Source organism: Homo sapiens, chromosome 22, assembly GCF_000001405.40.
Source record: "Homo sapiens chromosome 22, GRCh38.p14 Primary Assembly".
In the NCBI taxonomy this organism is placed as follows: Eukaryota; Metazoa; Chordata; class Mammalia; order Primates; family Hominidae; genus Homo; species Homo sapiens.
The window spans coordinates 23644078-23658446 of record NC_000022.11 but is presented as its reverse complement, the minus strand read 5'-3'; the positions used below and the strand labels follow the sequence as shown (position 1 = coordinate 23658446).

General features: G+C 51.2%; 2 pseudogenes across 1 annotated transcript in view, besides 1 other annotated feature; both read left to right on the top strand.

Annotated features, from left to right (window-relative positions):
* The window catches only part of GUSBP11 (GUSB pseudogene 11), a 78937-nt pseudogene that overhangs the window by 58977 nt on the left and 5591 nt on the right, over positions 1-14369 (top strand). The gene's annotated exons all lie outside the window — the stretch shown is intronic.
* ASLP1 (argininosuccinate lyase pseudogene 1) lies at positions 5088-9778 on the top strand (annotated as a pseudogene).
* Positions 8580-9079: an enhancer, noted in NCBI's record as "H3K4me1 hESC enhancer chr22:23991555-23992054 (GRCh37/hg19 assembly coordinates)". NCBI's record gives its function as "activates a minimal SCP1, AML or CMV promoter by ChIP-STARR-seq in primed H9 embryonic stem cells {active_cell/tissue: H9 hESC(primed)}" and the evidence as "EXISTENCE:reporter gene assay evidence [ECO:0000049][PMID:30033119]".

Sequence of the window (14369 nt, the reverse complement as noted above, 5' to 3'; positions counted from 1 at the left end):
ACTCTGTTTTAAGAAAAAAAAAAAGAAAACAAAAGAAACGGGCCAGGCGGGCTGGGCGCAGTGGGTCAGGCCTGTTATCCCAGCACTTTGGGAAGCCGAGGTGGGCGGATCACGAGGTCAGGAGTTGGAGACCAGCCTGGCCAACATGGTGAAATCCCGTCTCTACTAAAAATACAAAAATTATCTGGGCATGGTGGCTGCTGCCTGTAATTCCAGATACTTGTTAGGCTGAGGCAGAATTGCTTGAATCCAGGCAAGTGAAGGTTGCAGTGAGGCCACTGCACTCCAGTCTGGGCAACAGAGTGAGACTCCATATCTAAAAATAAAATAAAATGGAGGAGGAGGAAGAGGAAGAGGAGAAAAAAGAAGAAGAAACAGCTAGGTGCAGTGGCTCATGCCTGTAATCTCAGCAATTTGGGAGGTGGAGGAGGAGCAGGAGGAGGAAAAGGAAACAACCAGGCCAGTCATGGTGTCTCGTGCCTACGAGGAGGAGGAGGAAGCGGAGGAGGGGAAAAAAAAGGAGGAGGAAAAAGAAACGGAGCAGAAGGAGTTGGAGGAGGAGGAGGTGGAGGAGGAGGAGGGAAAAGAAATGGAGCAGGAGGAGGAGGGAAAAGAAATGGAAGAGGAGGAGCAGGAGGAAAATGAAATGGAGGAGGAGGAGGAGGAAAAAGAAATGGAGGAGGAAAAAGAAACAGGAGGAGGAAAAAGAAACGGAGGAGGAAGAGGAGGAGGAGGACAAAGAAACAGCCAGGCCGGACGTGGTGGCTCACCCCTGTAGTCCCAGCTGCTCGGGAGGCTGAGGCAGAAGAATCGCTTCAACCCGGGAGGCAGAGTTTGCGTGAGCCGAGATCGTGCCACTGCATTCCAGCCTGGAGACAGAGTGAGACTCCATCTCATCTCAAAAAAAACAAAAGAAAACAAAACAAAAACAAAAAAACAGCCAGGAGCCGTGGCTCACGCCTGTAATCCTAGCAATTTGGGAGGCGATAAGAATTATTGAAATGCAATAAGAATTACCGAAATGTTGAACAAAGACACCAAGTGAGCACGTGCTGTTGGAAAAATAGCACCAATACTACACTAGCTCAACACAAGGTTGCCACAATCCTGTAATATATTAAAAATTGGGCCAGGCAAGGGGCCGGGAGGGGTGGCTCACACCTGTAATCTCAGCACTTTGGGAGGCCAAGGCAGGCGGATCACCTGAGGTCAGGAGCTCCAGACCAGCCTGGCCAACATGGTAAAACCCCATCTCTACTAAAAATACAAAAATTGGCTGGGGGTGGTGGTGGGTGCCTGTAATCCTAGCTACTATGTAGGCTGAGGCAGGAGAACCACTTGAACCCGGGAGGTGGAGGTTACAGTGAGCCAAGATCATGCCATGGCACTCCAGCCTGGGTGACAAGAGCAAAACTTCATCTCAAAAAAAAAGAAAAGAAAAGAAAAACAAAATGGGCCAGGCGGGCTGGGTGCAGTGGCTCATGCCTGTAATTCCGGCACCTTTGGGAGGCTGAGATGGGTGGATCACGAGGTCAGAAGTTTGAGACCAGCCTGGCCAACATGGTGAAACCACATCTCTACTAAAAATAGAAAAATTATCCTGGCGTGGTGGCAAGCGCTTGTAATCCCAGCTACTCGGGAGGTTGAGGCAGGAGAATTGCTTGAACCTGGGAGGTGGAGGTTGTAGTGAGTGAAGATCTTGCCACTGCACTCCAGCCTGGGCAACAGCCAGACTCTGTCTCAAAACAAACCAACACAAACAAACAAAAACAAACCCCAAAACCAAAATTGATATTTCCCGTGTACATTCGACCTTGACTGTTGCTCATTCAACCCAGCCCAACTCAGTGCCCCATCCCCTGGCCCTGAAGAGACCATTCTGGCCCAGAAGTGTCCTGGCTCGGAGCAGCACCTTCTGCTACCACACTGGGCCTCCCTTCTCCTCAGTGCCCAAGGGGAGGCACCTCACTCTGATCTCCCAGTGGCATCCTATTATGCCTGCCAGTAAGGATAGGCGCTTGGTCCTAGAGCAGAGTGGTCTGCCGTTGGACCAGCCCAGCACTCCAGGTGACCTCAGCCTGCCCCAGGCCTTCCTGTAGGTTGGCACTAATTGGTTTGGCTGCAGCCTTGCATATTTAGCAGTTTTTATTACTAATAATACAGGCAGGGTGGCCCAGGACCCCGCTGGGGGAGGTACTGCCAGGCTCCCAGCTGAGGGGCAGGCTGGCTCCAATTCTGACTGGCTGGCCCCAGTGATCAGAAAGATCCAGGCCCCACCTAGTGCTTTGCTGGAGATCTAGGCTTGGTGGGGCAGCTTGTGGGGTAAGGGGCAGGACCAGCTCAAAAGACGGGGTGGGGGCGGAGGCTCCCTCTGCAGGGCAGAGTCCTTTGGCAGCTGGGGCTGTTGGGCATGGAGGGGTCAGTTCACAGCTCAGGGCCAGAGCACGGTAGAGGTCTCTGGGTGCACACAAGAACCAGGAGTGGAGCTGAAACATGTCCTGTCCCCTGCCTGCCCTCCCTTAGTAACTGCTGGCATTTCCCAATTCCTTCCTGAGCACCAGGCACCATGTTATGCATGCAATTTGCAAATGTTACCTGATTGAATGCTCAAAACAAGGCTATCACATAGGTACTGTATTATTTTTCAGAAGATGTCTTGCTCTGTCACCCAGGCTGGAGTGCAATGGTGCCATCTCTGTTCACTGCAACCTCCACCTCCAGGGTTCAGGTGAATCTCCTGCTTCAGACTTTCAAGTAGCTGGGACTATAGCTGCCCGCCACTGCGCCTGGCTAATTTTTGTATTTTCAGTAAAGACAGGGTTTCCCCATGTTGGCCGGGCTGGTCTCAAACTCCTGACCTCAAGGGATCCACCCATCTGGGCCTCCCAACCCTGAGTTTTTATAATAGGCCCCAGGCCAGGTGGTTAACAGAGGTCTGGGGCATTGCAGGGGGACAGAGGAGGACATATGTCCCTATTGGCCATTGTAGAGTCCCTTCCACAAAAAGGATGTCAGTCAAGTGACGTGCCCACCTCCACCCCACCCTCCCCCCCAGTCCTGGGCACTAGGACTACTTCCCAGGTGCCCTGTACCCTTCCCCGATCTGTCCCATGCCCTGGCCTCTGCCCGCTTTCAAAACATAGATGTGGCCAGCGCCTTGGCTTATGCCTATAATCCCAGCACTTTCGGAAGCAGAAGGATTGCTTGAGCCCAGGAGTTCAAGACCAGCCTGGGCAACATAGATCCTGTCTCAACATATTTTCTGCAAAATTTTTGTTTTTCCTAGACAGAGTCTCCTTCTGTCACCCAGGCTGGAGTGCAGTGGCACGATCTTGGCTCACTGCAACCTCTGCCTCCCGGGTTCAAGCGATTCTCCTGCCAAGCCTCCTGAGTAGCTGGGACTACAGGCGAGCACCACCATGCCCAGCTAATTTTTGTATTTTTAGTAGAGACAGGATTTCACCATGTTAGCCAGGATGGTCTCGATCTCCTGACCTCGTGATCCACCTGTCTCGGCCTCCCAAAGTTCTGGGATTACAGGTGTGAGCCACCGCACCCAGCCCTACAAAATTTTTCAAAAATGTATAGGTGTGGTGGCACATGCTTGTAGTCCGAACTACTGGGGAAGCTGAGACAGGAGGATTGGTTGAGCCCAGGAGTTTGAGGCCACAGTAAACTGTGATGGCACCACTGCACTCCAGCCTGGGTAACAGAGTGAGACCCTGTCTCTAAAAAAGAATTAAAATTTTTTTTAAATAACAAAATGGGCTGGGCTCGGTGGCTCATGCCTGTAATCCCAGCACTTTGGAGGCTGAGGTGTGTGGATCACTTGAGGCCAGGAGTTCAAGACCAGTCTGGCCAACATGGTGAAATCCCGTCTCTACTAAAAATACAAAACTCAACCAGGTGTGATGGCACATACCTGTAATTCTAGCTACTTGGGAGGCTGAGGCAGGAGAATCGGCTTGAACCTGGGACACGGAGGTTGCAGTGAGCCGAGATCGCACCACTGCACTCCAGCCTGGGCGACCAAGTGAGACTCCGTGTCTCAAAAATAAGAACAAAATGTAGATGCCTACGTACCATCTCTCTACCCTTGGCTCCTGGGGAGTAAGGGTCACCCAGTGACCTCCTAGAAGGCCAGTGACAATGGGGGGTGTCAGAGTGCTCTTCAGAGCCAAGGGAGCAGTAGGAATTGGGATCTTAGTCTCTTAGTCTGACTCCAAGCTGTGAGGGAGAGAGTTGCAGGGCACTTAAGCTTGGTGGAGACCGTCAGTGCCTCCTTGCCTGTCCCTGCAGCAAAAGTTCAGGACACCAGAGCCAAGCTCAGAGGCCGTGGTGGAACAGGGGTGAAGAGCATGGGTTCTGACTTTAAACTGCTGGGCTGCAGCCCTGGCTCTCCCTCCCCGGGTAAGGGCAGGCTGCATGCCTCCCTGTGCCTCAGTTTCCCCCTCTTCATAGTGGGATTGTATTGGTGCCTACCCCAGAGAGTTGTGTCATCAATTAGGATGGCACCTGGCACCTTGGTCAGTGGCAGGAAAGGTTCCAGAAGCTCTGCTCTGGTCCCGGGGTGCCTCGGGCCCTGCCACCATCTCCTTGGGGTGGTGCCATGTGGTGGGAAAGACCCCAACTTCAAGGCCAGACGCAGTGGCTCATGCCCATAATCCCAGCACTTTCAGAGGCCGAGATGGGAGGATCACCTGAGGTCAGGAGTTCAAGACCAGCCTGGCCAACATGGTCAAACCCTGTCTGTACTAATGATCCAAAAATTAGCCAGGTGTGGTGGTGCGTGTCTGTAATACCAGCTACTCGGGAGGCTGAGGCAGGAGAATCTCACGAACCCGGGAGGCGGAGGTTGCAGTGAGCCGAGGTTGCACTACTGCAGTCCAGCCTGGCTCTGTCTTGGTGTTCAGCCATGTTCCCATGCTCACTCCCAAGGTGACTCTGGGAAGGTCTCAGCCTTTTTGTCTTCCCAGTTAGGATGGTCCCATGCCCCTGCTACCATCAGACTTGGTAAGTTTCCCAAGGAGACTCTGCAAGAGGCACTGTTCTGGATGGTGGAGGAGAGACTAATTGTTCTGCTCTCCTGGCCAGAGTGGGTGCAGTGGACCCCATCATGGAGAAGTTCAACACATCCAGCCTACGACCAGCACCTGTGGGAGGTGGATATTCAAGGCAGCAGAGCCTACAGCCGGGGCATGGAGAAGGCAGGGCTCCTCGCCAAGGCCGAGATGGATGGTTTTACGTTGAACTAATTATATACTCAAGTGCTGTTTAACTGTGTGCCTTGACCTCTTCTCTCCTTTAATGATCCCTGTGGCCCACATGGCTTATGGGTAAAGGTGTGCTGGGCTCGAGATGCCCCCTCCCAGGGTGCACTTCCAGGACTCAGCTCCTGGACAGGGACAGTCAGTCATCAGGAATAAGGTGGGATCAGGGCAGGGGCTCTCGGCTGCTGATGCCTGCTCACCTGACCCCTGGTATTGCTGCTACGTGCTATAGGTGGTTGAGGAGTGGGCCCAGGGCACCTTCAAACTCAACCCCAATGATGAGGACATCCACACAGCCAACAAGTGCCACCTGAAGGTACGAACCCTGCAGCCCCACTGCCTTCCTGGCCTCCCCTCTCCACCTTGCGCGGGGCCACTTTGAGCATTAGCACCATCATTCTGTGATCATTGGTGAAACCGCAGGGAAGGCGCACATGGGATGGAGCTGGAATGACCAGGTGCCTCTAGCCCCTCCACCCCCCAACTCCATGCTGTCCCAACCTTGGGGAGCCCAGGGGGCAGTCAGAGCTCAGCAGTGGTCCTGGCTCCCCAGGGAAGTAATATGTCAGTTTCCCTGAGCACTACCTCCTTTTCGCACAGGTGGTCACGGACCTCAGGTTGTGGATGTGGCAGACCTGCTTCACGCTCTCGGGCCTCCTCTGGGAGCTCATCAGGACTATGGGGGATTGGGCAGAGGTGTGAGTACCCAAGGGACACCCAGGGGGCAGAGAGAGGTGTGATGGCAGCCTGAACAGCAGACCTAGGTGGCAGGGGTGAACAGGGTGGGGGTGCCAGGCCCTGGGGGACCGGGGCATCCCAAAACTCCAGGGTCGAGGCAGAGCAGCCAGGAGTGGGGCATTTCCTGCAGACGGCAATATTCCCATGGCAGTCTAGCTCAGCTGGCAAGGAAAACTCACCCTTCATGGGGCCGGTGCAGGGGTTCATGCCTGTAATCCCAGCACTTTGGGAGGCCGAGGCAGGTGGGTCAGGAGTTCGAGACCAGCCTGGCCAACATGGTGAAACTCTTTATCTTTACTAAAAATACAAAAATTAGGCAGGTGTGGTGGTGGGCGCCTGTAATCCAATCTACTCAGGAGACTGAGGCAGGACAACTGCTTGAACCCAGGAAGCAGAGGTTGCAGTGAGCTAAGATTGAGCCACTGCCAGCCTGGGCGACAGAGCGAGACCCTTGTCTCAAAAATAAAATAGAAAACTCACCCTTTGCGGATTTAAGGGCAGGAAGCTAAGGCACTAGCTTGGCTGTGCCTGGAGCAGCCAGACTCACCTGCTACCCTGCCTGTGCCCCACGTCTCCCATCCCATGCTCCGCGTCCCCATCTAGCCCATCTGGCAAAAGAGCCAAAGGCTGCCTCATATTGGCCTCATCCCAGGCTTTCACCTGGTGTCTTTGGGACTGGATTTGATCCTTGCAGACCTGGATGGGGAGCTGCTGAGGAGTCTCTGATGTGTTGTCAGAGACCCCTCCTCTTCCTCAACTCCCTGTGACCCCTGGTTCACAGACCTGGGGGGAAACAAGGGCACACAAATTGTCACCCTGTAGGTGGGGCGGGGCTGCTAGGAGAAACAGGGAGTGTCTGCTACTGAGTTCAGGGTTTCTTTAATTTTTTTTTTCTTTCTTTTGAGATAGGGTCTCACTCTGTCGCCTAGTCTGGAGTCCAGTGGCACGATCTCAGCTAACTGCAAACTCTGCCTCCCAGGTTCAAGCAATTCCAGTGCCTCAGCCTCCGAAGTAGCTGGGATTACAGGTGTGCGCCACCACATCCAGCGAATTTTAGTATTTATTTCAGTAGAGATGGGTTTTGCCTTGTTGGCCAGGCTGGTCTCGAACTCCTGAGCTCAGGTGATCCGCCTGCCTTGTCTTGCCAAAGTGATAGGATTAGAGGCATAAGCCACTGCACCCGGCCTAATTTTTAACTTTGTGACTTTTTAAATTGTCTTTAGAGATGAGGTCTTGTTCTGTCACCTAGGCTGGAGTGCAGTGGTTCAGTAATAGTTCACTGTAGGCCCACACTCCTGGACGCAGATGATCCTCCCACCTCAGCTTTCTGAGTGGCTAGAACCACAGGTGTGCACCACTCCCTGCAAATTTTTAAAATTTTTTGTAGAAACGGGGTGTCTCACTATGTGGCTCAGGCTGGTCTCAAACTCCCAGCCTCAAGTGATTCTTCCCTCTTGGCCTCCCAAAGTGCTGGGATTATAGGCTTGAGCCACAATGCCTGGCCTTGAGTACAGAATTTCTTTATGGGGTGATGAAAATGTTCTAAAATTGGTTTTGGTGATGGTTGTACGCTACAATGTGAACTTAAAATGGGTAAATTATTTGTGAATGAGATCTCAGTAAAGCTGGTTTATTTAAAACAACAACAGGCCGGGCACAGTAGCTCACGCCTGTAATCCCAGCACTTTGGGAGGCCAAGGCGGGTGGATGACCTGAAGTGAGGAGTTTGAGACTAGCCTGGTGAACATGGTGAACACGGTGAAACCCCATCTCTACTACAAATACAAAAAATTAGCTTGGCGTGGTGGCGGGCACCTGTAATCCCAGCTACTTGGGAAGCTGAGGCAGGAGAATCTTGAACCTGGGAGACGGAGGTTGCAGTGAGCCAAGACCGTGCCGTTGCACTCCAGCCTGGGCAACAAGAGTGAAACGCTGTCTCAAAAACAACAACAGCAACAAAAAACAGGCCAGGTGTGGTGGCTCACATTTGTATTCCCAGCCCTTTGGGAGGCCAGGGCAGGAGGATTGCTTGAACCCAGGAGTTTCAGACCACCCTGGGCAATATAGCAAGACCCCATTTTTACAAAAAATTAAAAATTAGCTGGACATAGTGGCATGTCTCTGTAGTCCTAACTACTCAGGAGGCTGAGGCAGGAGGATCACTTGAGCCTAGGAGATCGAGGCAGCAGTGAGCTATGATCGTGCCACTGCACTCCACCCTGGGCAACAGAAAAGTCCCTGTCTCTGAAAATAAAAACAGTAAGAAAACAGGACCATCACTCACAGCACCTCTGCCTCTGCCCTACCTACTTGAATGAGGAGCAGGGTGTCTCAGCTGGTCAGAGCAGCCCTTGAATGAGCCCCAGCTATTTCTGGGGTCCTCAAACGAAACCTCCCATGGCCAAGTCATACCCAACACGGGCCTGCTCCCCTGTTCTGGCCTCAGCTCGGAGATGCTGAGTGACAGAGGCTCAGCCTTCGGGTGTTCCTGGCAAACCCTCACCTCCGGAGGCCCCACAGCTCAGACCTAGTCCTTGGTTCACATGGCCCCACTTCCATCCTCTTTTTCCCTTAAGACTGATTTGTCCTGGGAGATCACTGGATCCCTCATTCAGGTGGAGTGCTGCAGGACGACACTTTTTCCAGGGGTGACCCAGGCCTGCAGGGTCCCAGTGTCACAGGCAGGCCTTGCCCGAGCCTCCACCTGAGCCCCTGCTCCTCTTCTCCCACAGGGAGGTGGAGGTTACAGTGAGGTGAGTTCAGGCCACTGCACTTCAGCCTGGGCAACAGAGTGAGATTTTGTATCGAAAAAAAAAAAAAAAAAAAAAAACAGGGTGCAGGCAGTGGAGGCAAATTAGGGCATGGACGAAGCTGCCTCAGTGCCACCTTTCTGCCCGGCACTCAGATGCCATTCCACTAGGCCCACGAGGCCTCCAAGGAAAGCCATGTTCATGGCCGAGACCAAGGGGGTTGCCCTCAACCAGCTGTCACTACGGGAGCTGCAGACCATCAGGTGCGGCCCACCCCCTTCCCCACGCTGTCTCCAGGTGGCCTGGCACCCTGGCCCACCTCTTCCTCTCTTTAGCCCCCTGTTCTCAGGCGACATGAGCCGCATGTGGGAATACGGGCACAGCGTGGAGCAGTACAGTGCCCTGGATGGCACTGAGCACTCCAGCGTCGACTGGCAGATCTGCCAGGTGCGGGCGCTACTACAGGCACAGCAGGCCTAGGTCCTCCCACGCCTGCCCCCAAATAAAGTGGGCGCGAGAGGAGGCTGCTACGTGTTTCCTGCCCCACCCTGGCTCCCTTGTTGCTGGGCTTTCCAGGGCTGGCCAGTGGGGACGGTCAGGGACTGGAGAGGCAGAGCGGGGTCGCCTGTAATCGCAGCACTTTGGAAAGGCAAGGTGCGAGGATGCTTGAGACCAGGAGTTTGACACCAGCCTGGGTAACACAGGGAGACCCCATCTCTACCCAGTAATAAAATAACTAGCCCAGCATGGTGGCCCATGCATATAGTCTCAGCTGCTTGTAAGGCTGAGGTGAGAGGATCATTTGCGCCTAGGAATTGAGACTGCGGTGAGCTATGATCACACCCCTGCATTCCAGCCTGGACAACAGAGTGAGACCCTGTCTCTAAAAATAAAAAATAAAATGGAAGTGGAGAAAACTGGGCAAGGACACTGAGAGTCATAGATGGGAAGGGAAGAGGGGGCTCCTATCACAGCCTCTGCCCTGTCCAGGCCCTGTCCCCTTCAAACAGGGTATCACAGTGACCTCCTAGGCCAGGAGCGGCAGCTCATGCCTGTAATCCTAGCACTTTGGGAGGCCTGGGCACAAAGCAAGACCCCAGCTACTGCATTAAAAAAAAAAAAAAAAAAAAACCTAGCCAAGCTGGGCGGGTGGCTCACACCTGTGATCCCAGCACTTTGGGAGGCTGAGGTGGGTGGATGACCTGAGGCCAGGAGTTCGAGACCAGCCTGGCCAACGTGGTGAAACCCCATCTCAAACTCCGTCTCAAAAAAAAAAAAAATAGTGTGTGGTGGCACACACCTGTAATCCCAGCTACTCGGGAGGCTGAGGCAGGAGAATCATTTGAACCCCAGAGGTGGAGGTTGCAGTGAGCCAAGATCGCCCTACTGCACTCCAGCCTGGGCGACAGGGAGACTCCCTCTCAAAAAAAAAACAAACAAAAAAACAAAAAAACAAATTAGCCGGGCATGGTGGCAGGTGCCTGTAATCCCAGTAACTCAGGAGGCTGAGGCAGGAGAGTCGCTTGAACTCAGTGGTCGGAGGTTGCAGTGAGCCGAGATGGAGTCACTGCACTCCAGCAATCCTGAGGACACTTAAGAACTAAACATAGTATGGTGTCCTGGATGAGATCCTGGGACAGGAAAAGGAGATTAGGGGAAATAGTAAAGAAATCTGAATCAAGATGAACCTTAGTTGATAATAATGTATCAGTATTGGTTTATTGGGGCCAGGCATGGTATCACATCCTAGCACTTTCGGAGGCTAAGGTGGGAAGATCCTGAGGTCAGAAGTGTGAGACTAGCCTGGGCAACATAGTGAGACCGCATCTCTCTAAAAAAATTGTTTTTTATTTTAGTCAGCATGGTGGTATGCACTTATAGTCCCAGCTGCCAGGGAGGCTGAGGAGGGAGAATTGCTTGAGCCCAGGAGTTTGAGGCTGCAGTGAGCTGTGACTGTGCCACCGTGCTCCAGCCTAGGCAACAGGGCAAGACCACATCTCTCCAAAAATTTTTTCATTAAAAAAAATTTTTTTTTTTTTGAGATGGATTTTCACTCTTGTTGCCCAGGCTGGAGTGCAGTGGTGAGATCTCAGCTCACCGCAACCTCCGCCTCCTGGTTTCAAGCGATTCTTCTGCATCAGCCTCTTGAGTAGCTGGGATTACAGGCATACGCTACCACATTCGGCTAATTTTGTATTTTTAGTAGAGACGGGATTTCTCCATGTTGGTCAGGCTGGTCTCAAACTCCAGACCTCAGGTGATCTGCCCGCCTCGGCCTCCCAAAGTGCTGGGATTTTAGGCGTGAGCCACCGCGCCTGACCTTACATGTTTTTTTAAGTGAAGCAAGGTCTCACTGTATTGCCCAGGCTAGTCTTGAACTCCAAGACTCAATCCTCCCACTTTGGCTTCCCAAAGTGCTGGGATCATAGGCGTGCGGTACCATGCCCAGCCAGGTTTTTTAACTGTAGCAATTTACCATATTAATTTAAGATGTTCATAACAAGGAAGCCAGGTACAAGGGTATATGTGAACTCTGTGCTATCTTGGCAATTTGTCTGTAATTCTAAAACTGTTTTAAAAAGTTTACTCAACTTCTCAATGTGCTGCTAAAGGAAGAAATAATTAAAATATTAAAAGTGTTTTATTTTTAAAATCTTTCTTATTTTTTTGAGACAGGGTCTCGCTCTGTCACCCAGGCTGGAGTGCAGTGGCGTGATTTTGGCTCACTGCAACCTTTCCCTCCCAGATTCAAGCAATTCTTCCACCTCAGCCTCCTGAGCAGCTGGGATTACAGGCATGTGCCACCACGCCCAACTGATTTTTGTATTTTTAGTAGAGACAGGGTTTCACCATGTTGGCCAGGCTGGTCTTGAACTCCTGGCTTCAAGCGATCCACCCGCCTTGGCCTCCCAGAGTGCTGGGACTACAGGCGTAAGCCACCGCGGCCGGACTATTTTTTAAATCTTTCTTAGAACCAAGGTCTTGTTAGGCTGCTAAGGCTAGATTCTAACTCCTGGGCTCAAGCAGTTCTCCTGCCTCAGCCTCCTGAGTTGCTGGATCTACAGGCATGCACCACCACCCCTGGCTAATTTTTGTATTTTTAGTAGAGACAGAGTTTCATCATGTTGGCCAGGCTGCTCTCAAACTCCTGACCTCAGGTGATCCGCCTGCCTCGGCCTCCCAAAGTGCTGGGATTATAGGTGTGAGCCACTGTGCCCGGCCAGAAGCCAACCTTTTATAAATCTATGCAGATGTGTGTCCCTATATGTTTATATATGAATCTGTGTATCTCTGCTACTGATTCTGCTTCTCTGGTTTGAACCCTAACACAACTAGTTGTTTTTTTTTTTTTTTTTTGAGTCAGAGTTTTGCTCTGTCACCCAGGCTGGAGTGCAGCAACGTGATCTCTGCTCATTGCAACCTCCACCTCCTGGGCACAACTAGTATGTTATAATCTGTTAGGAATTCAAATGTTTTTCAAAAGATCAAACTACATATTTAAATACATTTCAGATACAAACTTTTAAAATCATATTATGAAGCATTAAGTAAAATTCTACATTATTAGGCCAGGGACAGTGGTTTATGCCTGTAATCCCAGCACTTTGGGAAGCCAAGACAGGCAGATTGCTTGAGCTCAGGAGTTTGAGACCAGCCTGGGCAACATAGCAAGACCCTGCCTCCACAAAAAATAGAAAAATTAGCTGGGCATGGTGGTGCGTGCCTGTAGTCCCAGCTGCTCGGGAGGCTGAGATGGGAGGATCACTTGAGCCCAGGAATTTGAGGCTGCAGCAAAGCATGATTGAGCCATTGCACTCCAGCCTGGGTGACAGAGTGAGACCCTGTCCCCCCCAAAAAAAAAATCAACATCATTATATAATTCTACTGTAAATTATTAGCAAATAAAATGAAAGAAAATTAAGTATTATTTAAAAATAGGCCTGGTGCAGTGGCTCATGCCTATAATCCCAGCACTTGGGGAGGGGAAAGCAGGTGGATCACTTGAGGCCAGGAGTTTGATATCAGCCTGGCCAACATGGTGAAACCCCATTTCTATTAAAATTGCAAAAGTTCACCTGGTGTGGTGGCGCGTGCCTGTAATCCCAGCTACTCAGAAGGCTGAGGCAGGAGAATCGCTTGAACCCGGGAGGGGGAGGTTGCAGTGAGCTGAGATGGCGCCACTGCACTCCAGCCGGGGCAAAGGAGAGAGACTCTGTCTCAAAAAAATAAAATAAATAAATAAATAGCTAAACAATTGGTTCAAATGGACATAAAGATGGAAATAACAGACACTGGGAACTCCACAGGTGGGGAGGGAAGGAGGGGGAAGGGGTTGAAAAACTACCTATTGGGTACTATGGTCAGTGTTTGGGTGATGGGTTCACTAGAAGCCCAAACCTTAGCATTTTGCAATGTACTCATGGAACATACCTACACATGTACCCCATGAATCTAAAGTTTAATACAAATAATAAACTTAGTGCAATAGACAATTATAGAAGTTTAATCATAACACACTGAAGATAAAATAGCACTGATTTTTTTTTTTTCTGAGACAGAGTCTCATTGTTACCCAGGCTGGAGTGCAGTGGTGAGATCTCAGTTCACTGCAACCTCAGTCTCCTGGACTCAAGCAATTCTCGTGCCTCAGCCTCCCCAGTAACTGGGATTACAGGTGCACACGCTCTGCCTCCTGGGTTCAAGCGATTCTCTTGCCTCAGCCTCCCGAGTAGCTGGGGTTACAGGCACCTGCCTGTTCTACAACATGGATGAAACTTGAAGACATTATACTTAGTGAAATAAGCCAGACACAAATGGACAAATGTCATTTGAATCCACTTTTATGAGGTACCTAGAATAGGCAAATTCACATAGACAAAAAGTAGATTTGATGTTACTGGGACGAGAGGGAAGGAAGAATGTGGGACTGTAGTTAATGGGTTTAGAGTTTCTGGTTGGGAAGATGAAAGAGTTCTGGAGATGGATGGTGGTGAAGGTTGCCCAACAGTGTGAATGTACTTAGTGCCACGGAGCTGTACTTTTAAAAATAGTTAAAGTGGAAATATTGATGCTATGTATGTTTTACTGCAATAATAAAAATGGAGCTGGGCGTGGTGGCTCACACCTGTAATCCCAGCATTTTGGGAGGCCGAGGCAGGCAGATCACCTGAGGTCAGAAGTTCGAGTCCAGCCTGACCAACATGGAGAAACCCTGTCTCTGCTAAAAATGCAAAAAATTAGCCAGGCGTGGTAGTGCATGCCTGTAATCCCAGCTACTTGGGAGGCTGAGGCAGGAGAATGGCTTGAATCTGGGAGGCAGAGGTTACAGTGAGCCAAGATTGTGCCATTGCACTCCAGCCTGGGCAACAAGCGTGAAACTCTGTCTAAAAAAAAAAAAAAAAGGAAATGGGGCTCTATGTAGCAGGAGAGAGAGGGAGAGATAAATATACTTTTTTTTTTTTTTTTGAGATGGAGTCTTGCTCTGTTGCCAGACTGGGGTGCAGTGGCACGATCTTGGCTCACTGCAACCTCCACCTCCTGGGTTCAAGCCATTCTCCTGCCTCAGCATCCAGAGTAGCTGGGACTACAGCTGTGTGCTACCACGCCCAGC